This window comes from Homo sapiens, chromosome 5 (genome assembly GCF_000001405.40).
Source record: "Homo sapiens chromosome 5, GRCh38.p14 Primary Assembly".
Taxonomy (NCBI): domain Eukaryota; kingdom Metazoa; phylum Chordata; class Mammalia; order Primates; family Hominidae; genus Homo; species Homo sapiens.
Genome location: NC_000005.10, coordinates 170,691,840 through 170,712,068, shown reverse-complemented (window position 1 = coordinate 170,712,068; position 20,229 = coordinate 170,691,840). Strand labels below are relative to the sequence as shown.

Sequence of the window (20,229 nt, the reverse complement as noted above, 5' to 3'; positions counted from 1 at the left end):
CTTTGTGGGTCTATTTTGTGGTTGGCCTGGATTTCCTCTGTAGGCTCTTATTTGAACTTCCGCCTGTCTTGCAAGCACCCCTGGCCACGAGTGTGTAAGGCAGCTCAGCCACCATCTTGAGTGTGTATTAGTTTCTCTCCTGTCCCCCAATCTGCAACCCAGACAGCAGAGGCTTATTTTCCTGCTGCTCTTCAAAGTGATCGTATAGGTGGGCATCCATTGGAGTGTTTTCACTCATTTCCTGACCTGTATTCCACGTGAGACACTTACTTTGCTGGATTTAGTTGCCCCTTTGATCCTTCTGGTGAGGTGGCATTTGTATTTATTTATTTTTTATAAATATACTTTATTTTTAGAGCTGTTTCAGGTTACAGAAAAATTGCACAGAAAATATAGAGAGTTTGTGTATATTCCGCCCTCACAGTTTCTCCTATTATTCACATCTTGCACTGGTGTGGTATATCTGTTCCAGTTGATGAACCGGTATTGATATGTAGATATTAACTAAAGCCCATAGTTTACATTAGAGTTCATGCTTTGTGTTGTACAGTTCTGTGGGTTTTGACAAATGCATGACGTCATGTATCCACTGTTACAGCATTACGCAGAATAGTTTCACTACCCTGAATGCTTTGGTAGCATTTTAATATAGATATGTTTAGAAGCATTGACATGCTCTGGTGTGCCAGGAATGTCTTAGGTATTAGGAGAGAGATGAAAAGACATAATACCTGTTTACATGAGTTCTCACACTGGTGAGGAGGCATACACATAGACCATGGATTAGAAACTCAAATGCCAGTAGTCATTGGCAGGTAATTCAGATGAGGACAGATGATGAGTGTACAACTATAGAGAGTGGTAGGAACTGAGAACTGGAGAGTAACTGCTCCATGAAAGGGAAACAGTTGTTACTCAACCAGTTGTTATCATGCAGTCATTTAAGCCCAGTGAGTCCAGATCTTTAGATTTTTCAAGAGATGCCATAATTAACGATGGTTTGTTTCCTGGTTCTTAGCTGTTATCAATGAATTTGGTGTTTAGCACATACAGCATGTACCATATATAACACACCTTTGGGAAGGATGTTGTTGGTTGCTGGTCTAGAATTTTTCATTGGCAAATCATTTCAAAACAGTGTTGACATGTTTAAGAACTGGGAGCTGAGGGGAGGAAGCTCTTAGTGCCTCCTGGGTGGCATGGGACTAGAAGGGATGTCAGAGAAGGCTTCAAGGGAGGTGATAATTCAGTTGAGTGTTGAAGAATGAGGGAACAAGGGAAGAGCATATGCAAAGGCATAGAAGCTGAAGATCCCAGGAATGGTGAGCTCTCCTATGCAGGGGTGGAATCCCTTGAGAACAACTGGATAAAAAGGATTTAAAAAAAAATCTCATCATTTTTGAAGGCTTTGGAGAGCTACCAAGGCAGCCTGCATGAAAACAGCTCAGTCCCTGTTTGGATTTATCTGCCTTTGCTCTATTACCTTTCTGAAGCTGAAGACTCAACCAGATAGGTAACACATTTTTTATTCCAATGTGCACCCTTCAGTAAAAATCTGTCAGGCATATTAAGAGACAAGACTAAGAGAAAAAATAGAATACAGTAATAGATCCACAGCTGATCTAGATAATTGGATTAATCATATCTGGGCTTTAAAATAATGGTGAACATTTGTTCAAGAAAATATACAAAAAGCTAGATAATTCCACCAGAGAACCAGAATATATACAAAAAGTCAATCAAAAATTGTAGAATTGAAAAATATGTTATCCAAATTAACAATTAAACAGACCAATTTAAAAGTGGGTTTGACACAGATTAAGAGATAATAAGTGACTTGGTAGATAAGTCAATAGAAAAATGCACAGACAGATGCACAAGAGAGAAAAGAATGAAATCACAGTCCAGGCACAGTGGCTCATGCCTGTAATCCCAGCACTTTGGGAGGCCTAGGCGGGGGATCACTTGAGGTCAGGAGTTCGAGACCAACCTGGCCAACATGGGGAAATCCCGTCTCTACTAAAAATATGAAAATTAGCTGGGCATGGTGGTGCGCGCCTGTAGTCCCAGCTGCTTGGGAGGCTGAGGCAGGAGAATCACTTGAGCCCAAGGGGTGGAGGCTGCAGTGAGCCGAGATTGTGCTACTGCACTCCAGGCTGGGCAACAAAGTGAGATTCCATCTCAAAAAAAGAAAAAAAAAGAATGGAATCACAGATAAGCTTGCATAAGAGACATATGAGACGCGATGAAAAGTTTGAACATATGTATAATTGGAGTCTCAGAAAAGAAAGAGATAAATAATGATAATGAAGCGATATTTAAAGAGCTAATAAATGAACATTTTAAAAAAATGAGTGAAATATATCAAGTCACAGAGTGAAGGAGCACTACAAACCCCAAGCAAGATAAACACAAAGAAAACCACTTATAAGAACATCAGAGTAAAACCACTGAAAAATTAAAAAATAGAAAATCTACAATACAAGATAGAAATCATCAGATATAAACCAAACCCTGATTAAATGCTGCTTGTAAGCATAAGGGCACAGAAAATAAAAGTAAAATGATGGAAAAGGATATACCATGCAAACACAAATCAAGAAACACTGGCACAGCTATGTTTACATCAGCTAAAGTAGATGTTAAGGCAAGTAACTTTGCTAGAGATAGAGAATTCTTATGTAAAAGGGCCCATCTGCTAGGAAGATAAAACAATTCTAAATTAATATGTACTAATAATGTAGCTTCAAAATACAAATAAAGCAAAGACTGATAGAATTAAAAGGAAAAATAATAAATTCACAGTCATAATTGGAGTAATTTAAAAATACCTCTTTCAGCAGCTGATAAACAGACAAAAAAATCAATAGGGGTATAGAAGATCTGAGCAACATAATTAAGAAACTTGTCTCATTGAGACGTATGGAGCTCTGTACTCAGCAATCATAAAATACTATAAATTTTTTCAAGTGCACATAGAATATTTACCAAAAGTGACCATTTCCTGGGCCATAAAGTCAATCTCAAAAAACTTTAAAGAATTGAAGTTATAGACTGTTTTTGTCCAGAGTTGAATTAAGCAACATATCAATAGCCAAAAGAAAATTAGAAAATCCTCAAAAACATTTGGAAATCAAGCAATATAGTTCAATTTCTTTTTTTCTTTTTTTGAGACAGGGTCTCGCTATGTCATCCAGGATGAAGTGCACTGGTGTGATCTCCACTCACTGCAACCTCTGCCTCCCAGGCTCAAGCAATCCTCCCACCTCAGCCTCTTGAGTAGCTGGAACTATAGGCATGTGTCACCATGCCTGGCTAGTTTTTTTGTACTTTTTTGTGGAGATGAGGTCTCACTATATTGCCTAGACTGGCCTCAAACTCAAGCAATCCTCCTGCCTTGGCCTTCCAAAGTGCTAGGATTATAGGTGGGAGCCACCATGCCTAGCCTAATTCAATTTCTAAGTAACTCATGTATCAAAAAAGCAACCTCATGGTAATTAAATCATGGTAATTTTGAACTAAATGATAATGAGAATATGACATATCAACACTTGTAGGAAGTTGTTCAAGCTGTACCCAGGGGAAAATTTAAAAGAACATGACATACTTGAGCTGCAAATAATTTACAGGACTGTGTGCATAGAAACACAGAATGTTGTGCTTCCTCTTGAAATTGTATTCCTAGTATTTGCAGTGGTTCATTTTCAATGTTGCCTGAACTATATTGACTACATTAGACATTGTATTAATGATGGCATGCTGGCATTTGAAGATGTAATCTTTTCTTCCCCTTAAACATGGTTTGGTTTGTTCTGGATGAGTTTAACATCATCTTTTTGATTGACAGCGTTCCCTAATATAATTAGGGGCAAAAATCCACGTTGGTGCTTGCATGGAGCAGAGAGGGGATGGGACGGAAAGTCCCATTTGGTCCTTCAGCTTTAAGTCTTAGATTCTTACAGCCAGGCTTGGAGGGGAGTCATAAGCCCACTCAGACCCACACAGTGCACACAACTCATCAGCTCTGAGTTTTATAAACTTAACAATGAGCCCCAGGAGTGCTCAGCTGAGCCTTGATAAAGATTTTCTGAGTGTTCCACGTATTTTTTTCAGTCTTCTCGGTTCAATAAAACTCAAATCATGTTTTGCTTCAAGCATTTGTTCTCTTAATCTTGAAACCCCTCCTGCTCCTTTTAAGTGAAATTGAATTTATACATTTCTCATTCATTTATATACCTCAGTCCTGAAAGTGTCCTGAAAAAGGGAGTCCAAAAAAAAAAACCTTTGAGTGTTTCTGCTTCCATTAGATGGAGTTTTCAAGATCAAATGACTTGGAAATTCTTCAATATTTAGTGTATTTCAGTAGACAGATCTTTCTCTCCAAATGGGTATGTTTTTAATGTGACCTTCAGGTCAGCACAAATGTTGAGGTGGGTGGGGAGAGGAGTGTCAAATGTCCCTTACAGATTCTCAGGAGCAGGGCGATGGTGGAAATTAATGGTCACAAATGTAATGCAATTATTAAAAGTCCACAAAATCACGACATAGAATGTGACGTAAGTCATAATTCTGTTTGTGTGTGACAGTGTTACATTCATCCAGATATTTTCCAAGATTGAAGAAACAAACGGCTGGGAAAGGAATTATCTAGATTCCAGCACTAGAGAAAGCAGCAGCCCTAAAAGATGTGTCAGGACAAGGAGCAAGGCCATGTACATTAGGGACTCTCACGTGCCCTCACCACTGCAGCAGCATTTTAGTCCAGCTAAGCCCATGGCCAGGCTGCAAGGCAGAAATGTCAGTTTCATTGCAGCAGCTCAGCTTCAGGCACAGATCTCTAGAGGATGTTTTAAGTGGACCTTTTTGTCTGGAAAAAGTGCCCTGGGATGATTTTTTTTTTTTTTTTTTTTGATGATTTACTTAGGTAGTTCCAGCAGTCTCTGCAGCTCTAGGAGGCAATTAGTCAAATGACGTCCCAATCCTGCCACCAGCTAGTGTATTTCAGTAGACAACTCTTTCTCATCTAATTCAGGTGGCAGTGGAGAAACTTCCCACTGTTTCTCCTTTGAACCCAGCTGGACACCACCCTGAAGTTCCAGTACATGGAGATAGCCAGTAAATGAACAATTGATGACCTGTGTTGAAGAGAGAGGGCATGTTGCCTAGGGTGAGTGGGTCTACAATATTTCTGCGGGATATAAGAGGATTAACACGGGTGGGATTTCATTACTCCTCTTGACTGAGGAGCTGAAATGACAATTCATTGCAAATGAGGAGTGTCCAGGGAGAAAGGGCACTTTTAGTTTTAAGACGGAAAAATGAAGGGGCAGAGAGAGGTTGAAGGAATCGCTCAAAGGAAAAGTAAAATTGCCACAAGAATAGTATTATCTCAAGTTAGCACAGAATTTTCTCACTGATGGAAACTCACTGGGTCCAGGTCAGGCTAAGATGTGAACAGTGTATCTTTCAGCCTGCTTTCTGAAGAAGAGGAGTTCATTGCTCTGCAGATAATTTGGGAACTTGCTAAGTGATGGTTTCTGATTAGAGAGCTAGCGTTGGTAGGCTGGTAGATATCTGACAACTGGCTCTTGGGGAGGGTGGAAAAGCCTGATTGATACAGTTTTCCAGTTTCCTTGGTCTAAATATTCCCTTCACAGCCCAGTTCAGGCTGTTAGTGTGAAGTTGTTGAAATGAAGTGATCATACTTTGGGAAGCACGGTATGACCCAGCTCTATCACATTACTGCTACTGTTTTAGAATAGCTGGCACATGTTTAACTGTCCCAAACAAGCGTGCTAAAGACTCCAAAACCAGTTTCAGAGGGTAGGCTTAGGCCCTGTAATCCACACTAATAAACCCCTTCTTTGTTGTTCGTGTGAACATACATTTCTGTGCTTGATACAGAATAATCACAAATAGGAACATAATGGAAGCTGGCCATGTGAGCTTTTGCTGGATTCGGTATTAATGTATCCTTGTATTAACTGCCTGTCTTGGTGAGCTCAGAGAGCATGGTAATAGTTTTAGAATTGATCTAATCATCTCACTGCCCCTAGGAGGTATATGGTTATTAGACTAATTCAAGCTAGAATCATACCCACCTTGCAGCTGTAAATCTAAGTGAGATAAGGTATGTAAGATGCTCTACATGCATAGTAGGTGCTCAAAAATGTTATTTCCATCTTGTCGTATATTTTGACTGTGATTTTAAGGGTCATTCTCAACAACAGAATCCAATAGTCACATCTGTTAAACACTGTCTCAATCATGATTGTACCTTTCCTGATGGATCTAGTTAATTAATTGTGTTTCTCTTCAGTATAGGAAGATTTCCTTTTTCTGCTATTTATTGTCAGAGACACAACTCAATTGTCAGTTGAGGTTGGACATGAATAGGATAAAGTAAATATGATCGTTTTATGTTAAAGGTAATGGCCACCAGCAAACACAACCCTCTGGATGAAAGACTGTTGATCATCTCAGTCCGTGGAACAGAACAGGGGGTCTGTGGGTGGTGGACACCAGAAGCATAGGGCCTGGAACATTAGTGAACAGACATAACAACTGATGGCCACTAAGGACATTTCCTGGCTCTGGCTCCTCTGCCCTTAAGAATCCGGACAGTCCATGAGCACTGTTACGGGCCATCTCTTAGCTGAAGAAGTCAACTGGGCATTACCCTCCACTGGAACATGAACTTCCAGATGCAAGGAGTGCAGTCAGTTCATCTGAGAATGTATATCCGCCTGCCCAGAGGCAGGGAGAAGATGGCAAGGTGCTATCCTCTCCAGGATTCAGCTCTGAAGCCTCTTAACTGTGCACTTAATAAATGAAGCCTTGGCAGACACACCTTGAATTATTAATGAAGTTATTCAGCTTTGATTGTTTCCTTCTTTTGGGGAAAGGTTATTCACTCAAATGCCTTTGATTAGACTACACAATACATCACAATTGGGCATATTTTATGTGCAACTTTATGGCGATAATAGTTCTGTCTCATTTAGAAGCAAATCAGACATTATGAACTTCGTGATTTATTAATGTATTGATTTCTATAAATGTCAGCGCATCTCACATCCTGCCAGAGAGCCCGGGAGCAATCAGTGAAAGGCCAATAAAAATGTAAAATGAAACCATCATAAAAAGAGGAAATACTGCCTGTTTCCAAGCCCTGCTGCCTCTCTATATTGTCTCAGGGTCTACATCATTACCATGAAGGCATCCCCCCACCTACAAGGAAACAGCCTTGATGGTGGGGGAGGGGGCTCTATCCTGCTTAAATCTATTTTAAATAAAAAGAAGGTTGTATGGCAGGAGAAATAAAAAACAAGAGGTGAAGAGTGGGACCTGGAGGGGCCCCAGGGCTAGTGCCTAGATTCCTCACCCTGGAGAAAGCAGGAGGAGGAGGAGGAATCCCTTTCCATCAGATTCACCCCACAACAACCCCCCACCTTCCTGCTGAGGAACCTTCAAGACAGAGCCTAGATTTTCCTGCTGGCGCTGAAGAGTCCACGCTAGGGCCCTGGTCTACCTTTCCAGACGATTCCCCAATTCTGAGCCCAGTACATTTCAGCCTTATACTTTACAGAGTACTTTCACATTGCTTAACCCCTGTGAGGTATGCATAATATTATTCTCATTTTACCGAAGAGAAGACGGAGGCTCAGAGAAGAAAGAGAAAAGGTGACACTTCTGAGCACTGCCTATTTGCAGAGCACTGTGACATGTACTTTGCTTACATGATCTCACTTAATTCTCTCATAGCTTTAATTGTTGATTTCTTATTAGCTAATTATTGTTCCTATTTTATTAGGAGAAATTGAATCAGCAATTTCAGGAGGCATCCTTGGGGTCACAGAGACTAATCCCTGTCATGAGTCCTCTGCAATAGCCCCAGAATCTACTGGTGCACAGACCCCTGTCTACCAGAGCATGTGATCATCTGGCACTAATCCTATCCACCCTTAAAACATGGCGTAAGTGCCATCTCCTCTGGGCAGCTCTCTCAGACCACTGCAAAAAAAAGCTCTCTCTGTCCAAATTCCCAAAGCACTTATTATCTCTAGCAATCACCCAGCAGGTATCAAAATCTACCTTTGGGTGTCACAGTTTTCATATTCAAGGGTGGGGTAGGCGGAGATTGTGTCTTGTGCTTATTTTTGTTTTATTTTTGTTTTCGGTATCTCACTCCCTCTGTGATGTCTAATATCTGCTTTGCACATAGAAAGTGACTAGTAAGTGCTCATTATTTGCTAAAAGTGTGTATGTAGCACTAAAAGGAACTAATTGGAAAATATATTAAGAGTCCCGAGACAGTGGCCCAGGGAATATCTGGAAAGTATTTGGCTAATTTAGCGGGTAACTTTGTAATCTGACAGTTTAGTTCAGAAATCACAATCTGGCAGCCCACAGGGTACTGTTGTTTCACTTCTTTTATTTTTTAAATTAATTTTTTTTTGGTAGAGATGGGGTCTCACTGTGTTGCCCAGACTAGCCTTGAACTCCTGGCCTCAAGTGATCCTCCTGCCTCGGCCTCTTAAAGCACTGGAATTACAGGTATAAACCACCAGCCCTGGTCTGTTTCACTTCATTTAAGTGTGAACTTTATCAACATTTATTTCACATAAAAATATGAACTTTTGGCTTTCCTTTAGAAATCTGAAATTATGGCCATGCCAGGCCCACATTCCCACACGGCAACAATTAAACCGCAGTCCCCACTACTCCCTATTACATTTCCAACACTAAGACCAAGAGCTGTTGTTAGAGTCATCATCACTCGTTTATATACCTGAATCTGCAATCCCTGTTCAACAATTCCTTTCCTCTGCCTCCTACCATGTTTTCCTAAGTGACTTTTATGTGTTTGGTGGTGGTCTAGAGACATGACAGAACTTCATTTTTTGGGGTCCCAAGCAATGTGGAGAAGACAGGATGCCCTGTGATTAAAGAATCAAGCCGTGTCCTTAAATGTACCGTGCTGCTAATATCACGTGTGTCGAGAATGGAACAGACCTATAGGTTCTGAGCCCAGTACATTTCAGCCTTATACTTTACAGAGTACTTTCACATTGCTTAACCCCTGTGAGGTATGCATAATATTATTCTCATTTTACCGAAGAGAAGACGGAGGCTCAGAGAAGAAAGAGAAAAGGTGACACTTCTGAGCACTGCCTATTTGCAGAGCACTGTGACATGTACTTTGCTTACATGATCTCACTTAATTCTCTCATAGCTTTAATTGTTGATTTCTTATTAGCTAATTATTGTTCCTATTTTATTAGGAGAAATTGAATCAGCAATTTCAGGAGGCATCCTTGGGGTCACAGAGACTAATCACATCATCTGCTTGATGGGCAGATGCTTTGGAACCTCAAGGGACCACCCTAAGGGTCTCTGCTGGGCCCACTCTTGTGTCTTTGTAATTGTGTCTCTATAACAAGTCAGGGACCAAATTCCACTAATACAAGTCTCCTTCACTTTCTGTACTTGACAATTGGTACTGAGGGGGCAGGAGGGAAGACACCAAACAGTTTCAAGAGTACCCTCCCCATCTCCTTCCTCCCTCAAGCTCTCTGCCACCCATTTAGCATTTCCATGTTTGTTTCTTTTTTCTGAGCATCAAAGCAGCCTCCACTCTGGGCAACAAGTTGTATAAGTCACAGAGCGTGTGGCTTTTCTCCTGCCCTCTAAATGTACAGATGTGGCTACTGGGGCCCAGGGAGGGAACTGGCTTCATCCAAGGCCGCACACTGGATTCCCAGCATAGCAGAATTAAACTCAGATGAATCCTTCCAGTAATCTAACGTTCTTTTCACAACCTTATTAACTCATTCGACAAATACTTACTGAGTGTCTACTAGGTGCCAAGCACTCTTCTAGGCACTGGGGATAAAGCAGTGAACAAAAGACATAAAGGTGGGGATGGAGCTGTGAATGGAAATAGAGCAGAGTTATGGGACTGGAGAGACATGGGTCATGGGAGGCACTGTTTTTATTTTTAATTTTTATTTCCATAGGTTTTTAGGGGAACCGCTGGTGTTTGGTTACATGAATAAGTTCTTTAGTGGTGATTTCGGGAGGCGCTGTTTTAGGATAGCGAAGGAAGGCTCAGGAAAGGCGAGGTGATAGCCCACTTGAGCATCAGTGAGAGAGGAGTGATGGTGAGCTTTGAAGTCAAACAAAGGCTCCTGTCGCAGCTCCACAGCTGAAGAGGTGGTGGACCTGAGCAAGTCACTTCCATCCTCTGAGTCTCAGTTGCCAACAACAGGAAAAAGGGGACAGTAACATCATCTCTCAGTCTGCTGCTATCAAAAGAACCCCTGCAGATAGAGCGCTGGCATATAGAAGGCACTCATGAGTTTCCTCCCCACTCATGGGGGAGCCCTGGGGCTCAGCTTCTTAATGAGTGCCTTTGCTTGGCTGCGAGTAAGGTGCAACCTACAGAGAGTCCACGTAACACTCCATTAGCCAGGGCAGCAAGCCGGAGGGCCAGCTGGAAGACTTGCATAGTTTGAGAGGATGAATGAGCTGGGATTAATTAGCTGAGTTAGTTTGTGAATACATTAGCAGGTCACAGGGCTCTGAGGCTGTTTAGTCTGACGAGTGGTGGGTGGCAACCGCTAAGCCTGGAGTGACGCTTTGATGGAACTTTCCAGATCAGAGCTCTGACTTGGAACTCCCAGCCCTTCTGAATTTCTCACTGTGAGATAGCAGTGCTTCTCATCATTTAAGTCCCAAGGTGATTTACCATAAAGCTTAAGTTGGATCAGAGGAGTCTTTGAAAATTAAATCTCACATACAAGAAAGAGTTTGAAGTCATGTCTTCTATAGGAAGTCTTCTCAGACCTCCCAGCCTGCATCTCAAATCCTGAAACCCTTTTCGCCTATAAGGATAATATCTTGCGATTGTGGGGTAGGGAAGTTGGGAGGAGGAGGCACACTTTTCCTTTTATTACTGGTTGGAACATTTTTTAAGCTATGGGTTTGAATTGCTTTTAAAATTTTAATGTTTTGGGTAAAAACATGACATTTTGAGTGGGATAATGGTTGTGCTGTGCAGATAGGTCTGGAAAGTTGGTTCTACTGCAACCAGTGTTTTGTTGTTGTGTTTATTGTAATGTTGTTTTTGTGGAATAAAATGCCTTCCAAACAAAATATTATATTGGGGTGGTCATTTGTGCTTGTCACCAACAATTTCTGGTCCTCCTCCTTCCTGATGCGTGTTGGGTGTACCTTTTACCCTTTTGAAATTAGGTAGGACTATGTGACTGGCATTGCCTAGTAAAATGTGAACATTTCTATTGTGTGCGTGTCCCAGGTGTCCCAGGAGTGAAGTGTGCCACAGGTGTCCCGCAGGGCACAGCTGGCTCCGTGCTCAGGCAACCTGGCTCCAGAGCCAGTGCTTATAAATCACAATTCCATGCATGAACAATCTCTGCCCTCACAGAGGGATCAGTCCTGTGGTGGCAACAGATATTAAATGAATAATATTTTTTTTGAGACAGGGTCTCACTCTGTTGCCTAGAATGGAGTGCAATGGGGCAATCACGGCTTACCACAGCCCCAACCTCCCAGGCTCAAGTGATCCTTTCATCTCAGCCTCCTGAGTAGCAGGGACCACGGGCAGATGCCACAATGCCAAGCTAATTTTTATTTTTTATTTTGTAGAGATGGGTTTCTCACTGTTTCCCAGGCTGGAATGATTTTTTAAAAATAATGTTTGATTACAGTTGAGCAAATTATGATGGAGGAAAGGTATGGGTTACCATGCGAACTTAGGCAGGAAGAACTAAACATAACCGCAAGGCTTCTCTGTGGTGGCCTTGACACAGAGCCTGGAAGGAGGAGAAGGGGACCAACAGGTGATGAGTGAGGGAGAGCGTTCTGGGCAGAGGGAACATCCTCTACAAGGAGCCCACAGGAGAACAAGATAAGCCTGCTCTAGAGATGACAGGAGGCAGGTGTGTCTGGAGGCTGGGATGAAGGGAACAAGGCCCAGAGGGGTGGGAGGCAGGTATGTGGGAGGCAGGCATGGACCACATTGTGCCAGGCTGGGAACCCATGTTAACAGTTTTAGGGACAGCCAACAGCAAAGAAAATACAGTCTTGTTATTTTTAGGAAAACTGAAACAAACTTGGTCCCTCCCGTTTGCTGGGGCTTCACGGAGGATGGCTCTGTGGGGCCAGCTCTCTGCCTGCTGGCTTCGTGTCCTTCCTCTCCTTGCTGACTCATGGCAATCGAGGGCCTGTGACATAGGCCTGAGACCCTAGACTCCCTACAAGTCATGGGAAGGGGAAGGAAGTGTGTTTCTCCTTATTAGTTAATAGAGCCTACAATTTAGGATGTTTGAGGTTTCAGCTGGAATACCAGGGGACCTGGCAATTCCCCTTTAGAAAGCTTAGGGCTGAGTTGGGCTCAGCTTCAGAACTGACCCTATGGTATCAACAATATGATAAGGCTGGAGAAAATCTCCTGGGACTGTAAAACTTTTTTTTTTTTTTTTTTTTTTCACAGAGCAATTTAATTCTTATTTTAGTTACCTCATGACCCTGCACTAGGAAACAGGTCTTGGTAGTTGTCATTAAAAGGGGGAAGATTAAACATGCAAAGGAGGTGTGATAATTATTGAAGCAAAGTTCAAGAAGGTGGGAGGCAATGGGATGAGGATCCGAGACGTGGGGACCCTGTGCAGATTTCAGATTAGTTCTCAGAAAAATTCCTAGAAGTGCAAGAAAAAGCAAGGGTTATAAAACAGAAAATATCTATCATGTACCCATCTTCTCTGTGTCAATCTGTCTCATCTTTGTCTATATCATCTCTCTCTTAGATAATAAACATTTTAATAGTGGTGATCTCTGAGAGTTAGGGTTATGGATGGCTGTTACGTTCTTTTTTGCTTATGTGTATTTTCTAAATTTGCTGCAATGAGTAAGTACAAATTTTGTATATGAAGAAATTCATAAAGATTATTTTTAAGTCACTTTAAAGGGCAAACGTGGAGAACTCTTCAGTCCTCAGCGGCCCTGGGATGGATGTGGAAGGGGTGGAGCCCAGAGGCCAGGGCTGTCTTGGGGGTCAGTCCCTTTTCTGCAGAGAGGTCTGGGAAGCTAGGCAGGTGAGGGTGGAGATCCTCCGGCTTGGAGATCTTCATGTAGCCATGGCAACATGTCGTGTTTATCAATTTCAGTTTCAACATCTGGGAAATGGTGGGAATAATCCCTACTTTACAAGGCTCTTGTCAGATTTAAATGAGATAATGAATGGCAGTGCAATTGGTGTGGCGGTATATACTCAATAAAGATTAAACAATGACTAACAATCTTTTTCTACCTTCTGAAGAAAGACAGCTTGGCTAGAAGCAGTGGGTTAGACAGGATGCCTTCCTTCTGGAGGAGGCATTTCTGAGACACTGGTGAGTGGGGTGGGGTGGTACAATTGGGAGTATTGGGGGTGGGGGTCTTGCAGTGATCAGAATGGCAGCTGACATTTTAGAAGAATTTTCCCATGCCTAGGGCTTCATGTGCACTATCTCATGTGACCTTCCTAAAACCAGTGAGGTACATTCTGCCACCCTTTTAAAGACAAAGAACTAGAGACTTAAGGATGTAAGGTCATCTGCCCAGGGCCACAGTTAATAAACAGCAGAGGTGGGGCTCAAATACAGGTCTGCTTGATGCCAAAGCCCATGTTCTTAACTGCAGCATTCTATTCCATGAACTTTATAGCCACATAGAACTGGGTTAAGATCCCAACTTTGCCACTTGATACCTGGTGGCCTTGGGTAAGTCACTAACCCTCTCTAAGCCTCAGTTTGCTCATTTAGACAGTGGCTGTGATCTAACCCCTGTCTCATTGTCCCCATGAGGATTGAATGTGGCAAGGCCTGTGATACCCGGGTACCCGGCAGTGCTTACCACATGGCGGTTTTCTGGCCCCCTCTTCTAGGTCCTGGAGAGGGCATTCCCACAGCTCTTGGGTCTTCTGAGGCAGCATCTCAAAGCTGCACTGCTGAAAATGCAATTTTTCGCTCTTGCTTGTATGGATAGATTTTTAATATTTAATTAGGAAGACCTTCTGCTTGGAGAAAGGGCAGGACTTGTTATTAAATCCCTGCTGCTTGGTCTCCCTCACTTGCCCATGGGATTATTCATTCATTTCCAGTCACACAATTTAATATTGCAACAGCTAATGGGGAGATGTTGATAATTTCCCAAGGCCATTGGGGAAGGTCCACACCCAGACCTGCTGTGGGGGCCAAAGCAGATTCTCAGGAGATGAGGGTTCCTGAGAGCTTTATGTTCATTATCTGCAAACATTCATCTTGCACTTCTGAGTGTGGATGCTGTGCTGGGAGCCATGAGGGTCAGAAAGAAGTTCACGGCACAGTGGCATCCTCGAGGAGCTAGGACCCCTGAATGCATTAGAGGGCTAGGCTCTGCAGCCAGACAGATGGGGTTCAAATTGCCTCCTTGGACGTTTCCTAGCTGGGGCACTGGGCATTAACCTCTGGGGGACTCAATTTCATGTACTCACCATCTCTTCCTGAGACTAGTGCAAAGTATCAGCCTGTAGGTTCAACCTTACCAATGGGTTCTTTGCAAGAACAGCTAGAAGATCTCTTAAAGAGTCATTCATGGAACACATAACTACTAAGTATCTAATATGTGCAAGGCACTTTGGCAGGCAGTGTGATGATTACAGTGATGAACAGGACAGGTGTGGTCCTTGTTCCCAGATCTTATGATTTGGTGCATGAGGGACTTAACCTAAGAATCACAGACACAAACATAAAATGACAGCTGTGAGAAGTGCTGCAAGGGAAAGCTATTTGGTGCTCTGGGATGGGGGCAGGGGAAAGGGGCCCTGGTGTAGTGCAGGCATTCAGGGCAGGCTTCCCTGAGGAGTGACGGTGGGCCTGAAATCCCAAGGAGTGGAATCTGACTAGATAGGAAGGAAGGAGTGTGTGTGTATGTGTGTGTGAGACAGCGAGAGAGAGGGAGAGGAGGAGGAGGAGGAGATGGAGGAGGAGGAGGAGAGAGAAAGAGAGACAGAGGCAGATTCTACGTGTACAGGGAGGATGGGGAGAGCTTTTAGGAGCCTCCTGTGCAGAAGTTCTGGAGCAGAAGGAAATGTGCATTCTAGGGAAGTACATCTGACTGTCCTTATGCTAAAGCCTTCAATGGCTCCTCACTGCTTGCAGGAAAAAGGCCATGCTCTTTATGAAGGTCTTTTATGATCTTCTCCTTGATTAGCTCACAGGTTTTATCTCTCCTATACAAAGTCACCCTCCTACACAGACACACACAGTCACTTTCTGTAAATACTTGCTGTTCCCCCAACATGACTTCCTGGTTGACACTTCCACATCTTTGCATGTCAGATGCCTGAAGGGGTTATTTCCTGGGTTTCTCTGAGTCTATCCCATGCCTCACATATCTCCAAGGGGCTCTGTTTATCTGGACTACAATGTGCATGGTGCCCATGGAGTTGTACAATGTGCTGCCCTCTCTCAAATCTCGTTTCAAGGGCTACCTCCTCTGAAACTGAAGTTTTTCTGTCTTCCCCAGACAGTATCAATGTGACAAGACCCCTCCCTGCAGCTTCCATCCCACTGCAAGACAAAAAGACAAAGATTCTTCTGTCTCTCCTAGACTGTGGGTCCTTTGAGAGTATGGCCATTCAGCCACTCATTTAACAAATTTGTTGAGCTCCTACTCTGTGCCAGGCTTAGGTCCAGGCATCAGCAACATGGTCCCAAATAAGTCAGGCCCATCCTCTGTTCAGCAGGAATGACACAATAAACAAATACTGGCATCAATGACTATGCAATTAGAAATCATCTTTAGTGCAGTGAAGGAAAAGAGTGAGGGAAGTGTATGAAGGAAAAACCAGAAGGAGCCTCTTTTAAGTTAGGAAGGAAGGAGAGTCTATGAACACTACGAGGTGAAGCATAAAGGTGAGAAGTGGTAGGAAAGCAGTTTCAGGAAGAGGGAACAGCATGCGCAAAGATTATGAGATGAGAAAAAGCCTGGCTTTTTTTTTTTTTTTTGAGACAGAGTCTTGCTCTGTCCCAGGCTGGAGTGTAGTGGTGCAATCTCGGCTCACTGCAACCTTCGAATCCCTGGTTCGAACAATTCTCCTGCCTCAGCCTTCCAAGTAGCTGGGATTACAGGCGCATGCCACCACACCTGGCTAATTTTTGTATTTTTAGTAGAGACGGGGTTTCATCATGTTGGCCAGGATGGTCTCGATCTCCTGACCTCATGATCCACCCGCCTTGGCCTCCCAAAGTGCTGGGATTACAGGCGTGAGCTACCGCGCCCAGCCTAGGATGCTAACTGTGTGGACCATTCACCTGTCTGACAAGGACTTGGGCTCTTATCTTTAAAGCAATGGGAAGCAGAAGTGTCAAGTTTATAATAGCCTCAAAGCAGAAGTTTACCCAAGTGTTCAACAGTAAAATGGATGTTAAAATAGTCACACAATGAAATGTTACACAGCAATGTGAATGAATCAAGTATGACAGTGTCCAACAGCACGGATGAATATACAGTGCAAAATCAACGGAAATTAACCAGTGTTGCTAGAAGTCAGGATAGCAGTTACCTTTGGGGAGTAATGAATCAAATGGGGCAAATAGGGAGCTTCTGGGATGCCCTAATCTTCTTTCCCCCTTCTCGTTCTTTTTTAATCTGGGTTCTGGAGCAGATTCTATTTAGAGGAATGTTTTTATCTTTAAAAATTTAATTAAAAAATAGATGCAGAAGGACCTGCTAGGAGAGTGTTGCAACTGTCTGGATGAGAGATGATGTTAACTTTGAAACAGACAGATGAGGGGAAGATCTTGAATCTCTGTGACAGAGAGAAACCACCAGACTTGCTGATGTTGGGTGGCCGGGGGATGGGTGTTAGAGAAGGGGATCGGGAGGTGACAAGGAAGACTATCCAGGCTTTAGCAATTGGGTGGATGGTGGAACCATGCTGTGAAGTGGGGAAGCTGGAGAGAGCTGTGTCACACTTCTCTGCCCTGGCCCCAGTGATGATGAGGTTTTTCTAGAGAATGGGTTTGATTAATACTGACTTATCTTTGGCTATTGTAAGTCAATAAAGCTATGACAAGTCCTTGGAAAGCAGCTAGTTTACTGCCCTTGAGTTCTACAAATTTCATCTCCTGGAAGATTTTTCAGAATTATTTGTTCTTTAAACTCAACAGCTTTTTGCGGACAGAGCTCATGGACCTTTGTCACATGGGTAACACCTATTTATTTCCTTTGCATGTGCAATGCCATGTTATGGTCACAGACATATATGTGTGACGCTTTCAGGCATGCTTTGTGATTCTGGGTGTCGAGAGGAAAGAAAAGAGCAATTAAAAAGAACCTCTCTGTGGATGGTGCTGTGTTGAGTGCATTTCATAACCAATCTCAGGAAGATTATTTTTTAAATTTACATTTTCTGCATTATTAGTGCTTGGCTATTAGTCATTGAGTGGCAGAGTTGAAATATGAACTGTAATCATGCCACACTGCTTCCATCTGATCAGGGATGAAGGTCTGGGGCTCACTGGTGAGTGAGGGGGTGACAGAGACCATCTCCTCATTTCAGTCTCTGTGATGACAGAAGGGGGTCCTGATGCTTAGAAAGTGCTTAGAGATCTTCAAAAGAGAGCTGCTCTAAGGTTCTGTTTTACCATTTTAAAAAACACTTGCCCATAATGTCTCTTTATAGGATAATAAAAATGAACCATCTGTGGTTCATTGGAAAACATGTCTCAGGCTTATTAAAAATATATGAATTTTTACTTTAAGATGGGATGGCTATATTATTCAAAATTGTAAGCCAAAATGTATTATCTATTATTAATTTATTTTTAATAGTCATCTTTCTTATAGATTAGCATTCTAATTACTTCTGAAAAAGTGGGCAGTGGTGAGGCAAGGTTTCCAGTGAAAATTGTCCTGAAGATAAATTGGGGTCTTTGGCTGGAGCACTTCAGCCTTTTCCCCATTCTTGGGCAATGGCACCTGTCATCCCGGAGGGGCCAGGCCAAGATTCTACCTAGGCTAGATCTGCCTGAAGAGTTTGAGGCTCTCCTCTGGAGTGAATGGGGCTGCTCTCCACCACATTCCTGCTAAGGTGCTGTCCAAAGGCCACACCCATGAAGGCCGGCAGCACAGAACTGCCTCCAGCCTGCTTCTTGCTGCTGTCCTCCTCTAGGCTGCCAGCCCTTCCTCAGACCCCCTCCACTTTCTTCTTGCTAATCCTTCCTCCAAGCCCGAGATAAAAAGTGTCTGCTGCAGTAAATGCAGCTCACGTGATATGACAGGGGAATTTATGGGATCTTTCAAATACTTTCTATAATTGAAAAATTTCAGCATTTATAGTTTGATTGAAGCTTGTTCATGTCAATTCAAAGCAGTTCATGTTGATGGAGGGTCTTCCGTGCTCAGGTGTTTGATTCGGTAAAGGCAGAGACGTGGGAAGAGCTGGGTCCTATACCCAGGGAGTTTGAATGGCTTGGCTCTCATACCTGTCACCTGTGCACTCTGTAGCTTCTGTACGTTCTTCACCTGCCTTCTGGTGTTGCCTAGTCTGTGAAGAACACTCACTTCTCAGGGTCTTCACGAGGATTAGATGGGTACCCAGAGCATGGCACACAGAGGATGCACAGCAGATGGCAGCTTATTTCATTTCCCTCCCATCTATTCCTGTGTGAGGAGGGAGGACTGGTAGACTGAGTGGGGGCTTCCAGGTCATTCTACGTGGTGTCAGCCTGGCTCCATCTTGAAGGGACAATGTGTGTGTGTCGGGGGGATGGGGGCTGGCCCGTCCCCAGGGATGCCAGCAGAGGACAAAGAACACTGACCAGCGGGAGGGGGTGAGAGGGCGAGGGAGTGGGATGGGAGACCTGGGTTCCCAGACCACATCCCCAATTCTGGGCTGGGCATTTCCATTCCCTGAATGTCAATTCCCTCTGCAATAAAAAGGAGTGGTGGGGACACCAAATTTCTACTCGTGTAACCTTGGGCAGTTCTCTCTATATTTTTAGTTTATTAACCAGTGATGGATCTATTCTCCAGAAACTCCGCTAAAGTCATCTCAAACCTATGCTATTTTAAATTTATATTAATTTCCTCTGGAGATAGCAAGTTTCATTAAGTTTATGAGTTTTGGGGAAGGCAAACTTCTTTTAATCGGTCCTAGTTTACTCCTTTTAGTCTTCTAATTTTAGTATTTTCTGATTTGCTCAACATTCATGCATTTGTTTAACCAACATATAAGCATATCCATGCTCCCCATATTCAGATTTTCAGAAAGAGAAGATATATAGAAGAGTTTATTGAATACCTACTATGTAAAGACATACTAAGTGTGTTCACATTTGTCAATCTCCATTTACCTTCCCAACAATCCTGGGAGGTGATATTAGTATCCCCAGTTTGTCATTAGACAAGCTAAGTCTCAGACAGCTTAAGTGATTCCCAGGGTCACACAGGGAGTAAGTGCATGAACTGGCATCTGAAGCTAGATCTTGCTTTCTGTAATTCTTTAATGTAATGTTGCAATGTATTGTTGCAATCTCATAATATCATGCCCCTTCTTTCTGCCTTCCTTATCCTCTTTATATATCAGAGAGATGGAAGCTATTATTTCCGGAGCTGCTTAGCATTGATTCTTTGCTTCTCCAAGCCTGGGGGATTTATTTTCAAAACTCCCCGCTTTGCCTGAAAAGGCCTGGGAAAAGCTTGCAGTGGAAATTACAGAGGAGGGGATCTTCCAGGGGTCCCACCCAGCAGCCTGCTTCTTTCCTGTTGCATTTGGCCGTGGTGGTACCTTAGGATAAAATGCCATGCCTGCTGCTGCTTGATGACAACCTGGCTGTAGTAGCCTGTATATTTAATCCCACGCATGTTAAATTGCATCTGGCCAATGAATGTGTTGCATGTCTGGGGCTCTTTACTTAGGTGGTTCTTGGGGAAAATTGAGGGCATGTATATCAAGCAATTTTTGAATTATGTCTCTATTAGCATCTGTGAATGTCTCCCTGGGGAAGCCAGGAAAACTCTATTAGTTGAGCAGTTTAAAAGAGGATTGGAGGAAGCAGTGGGGAATATCCCATAGGGAACAATAATTATAAACAGCAGTTCCATGTAAACAGGTCTTAATGTGTTTTCTATATTGAATTCCTGAGAGTGAGGATCTCGAGTGGTGTTTCGGCGCCCCCT

At 43.0% G+C, this 20,229-nt stretch overlaps 1 protein-coding gene across 6 annotated transcripts in view; it reads right to left on the bottom strand.

Annotated features, from left to right (window-relative positions):
* Positions 1-20,229, bottom strand: part of KCNIP1 (potassium voltage-gated channel interacting protein 1) — a 383,146-nt gene that overhangs the window by 24,564 nt on the left and 338,353 nt on the right. The window lies entirely within an intron of this gene.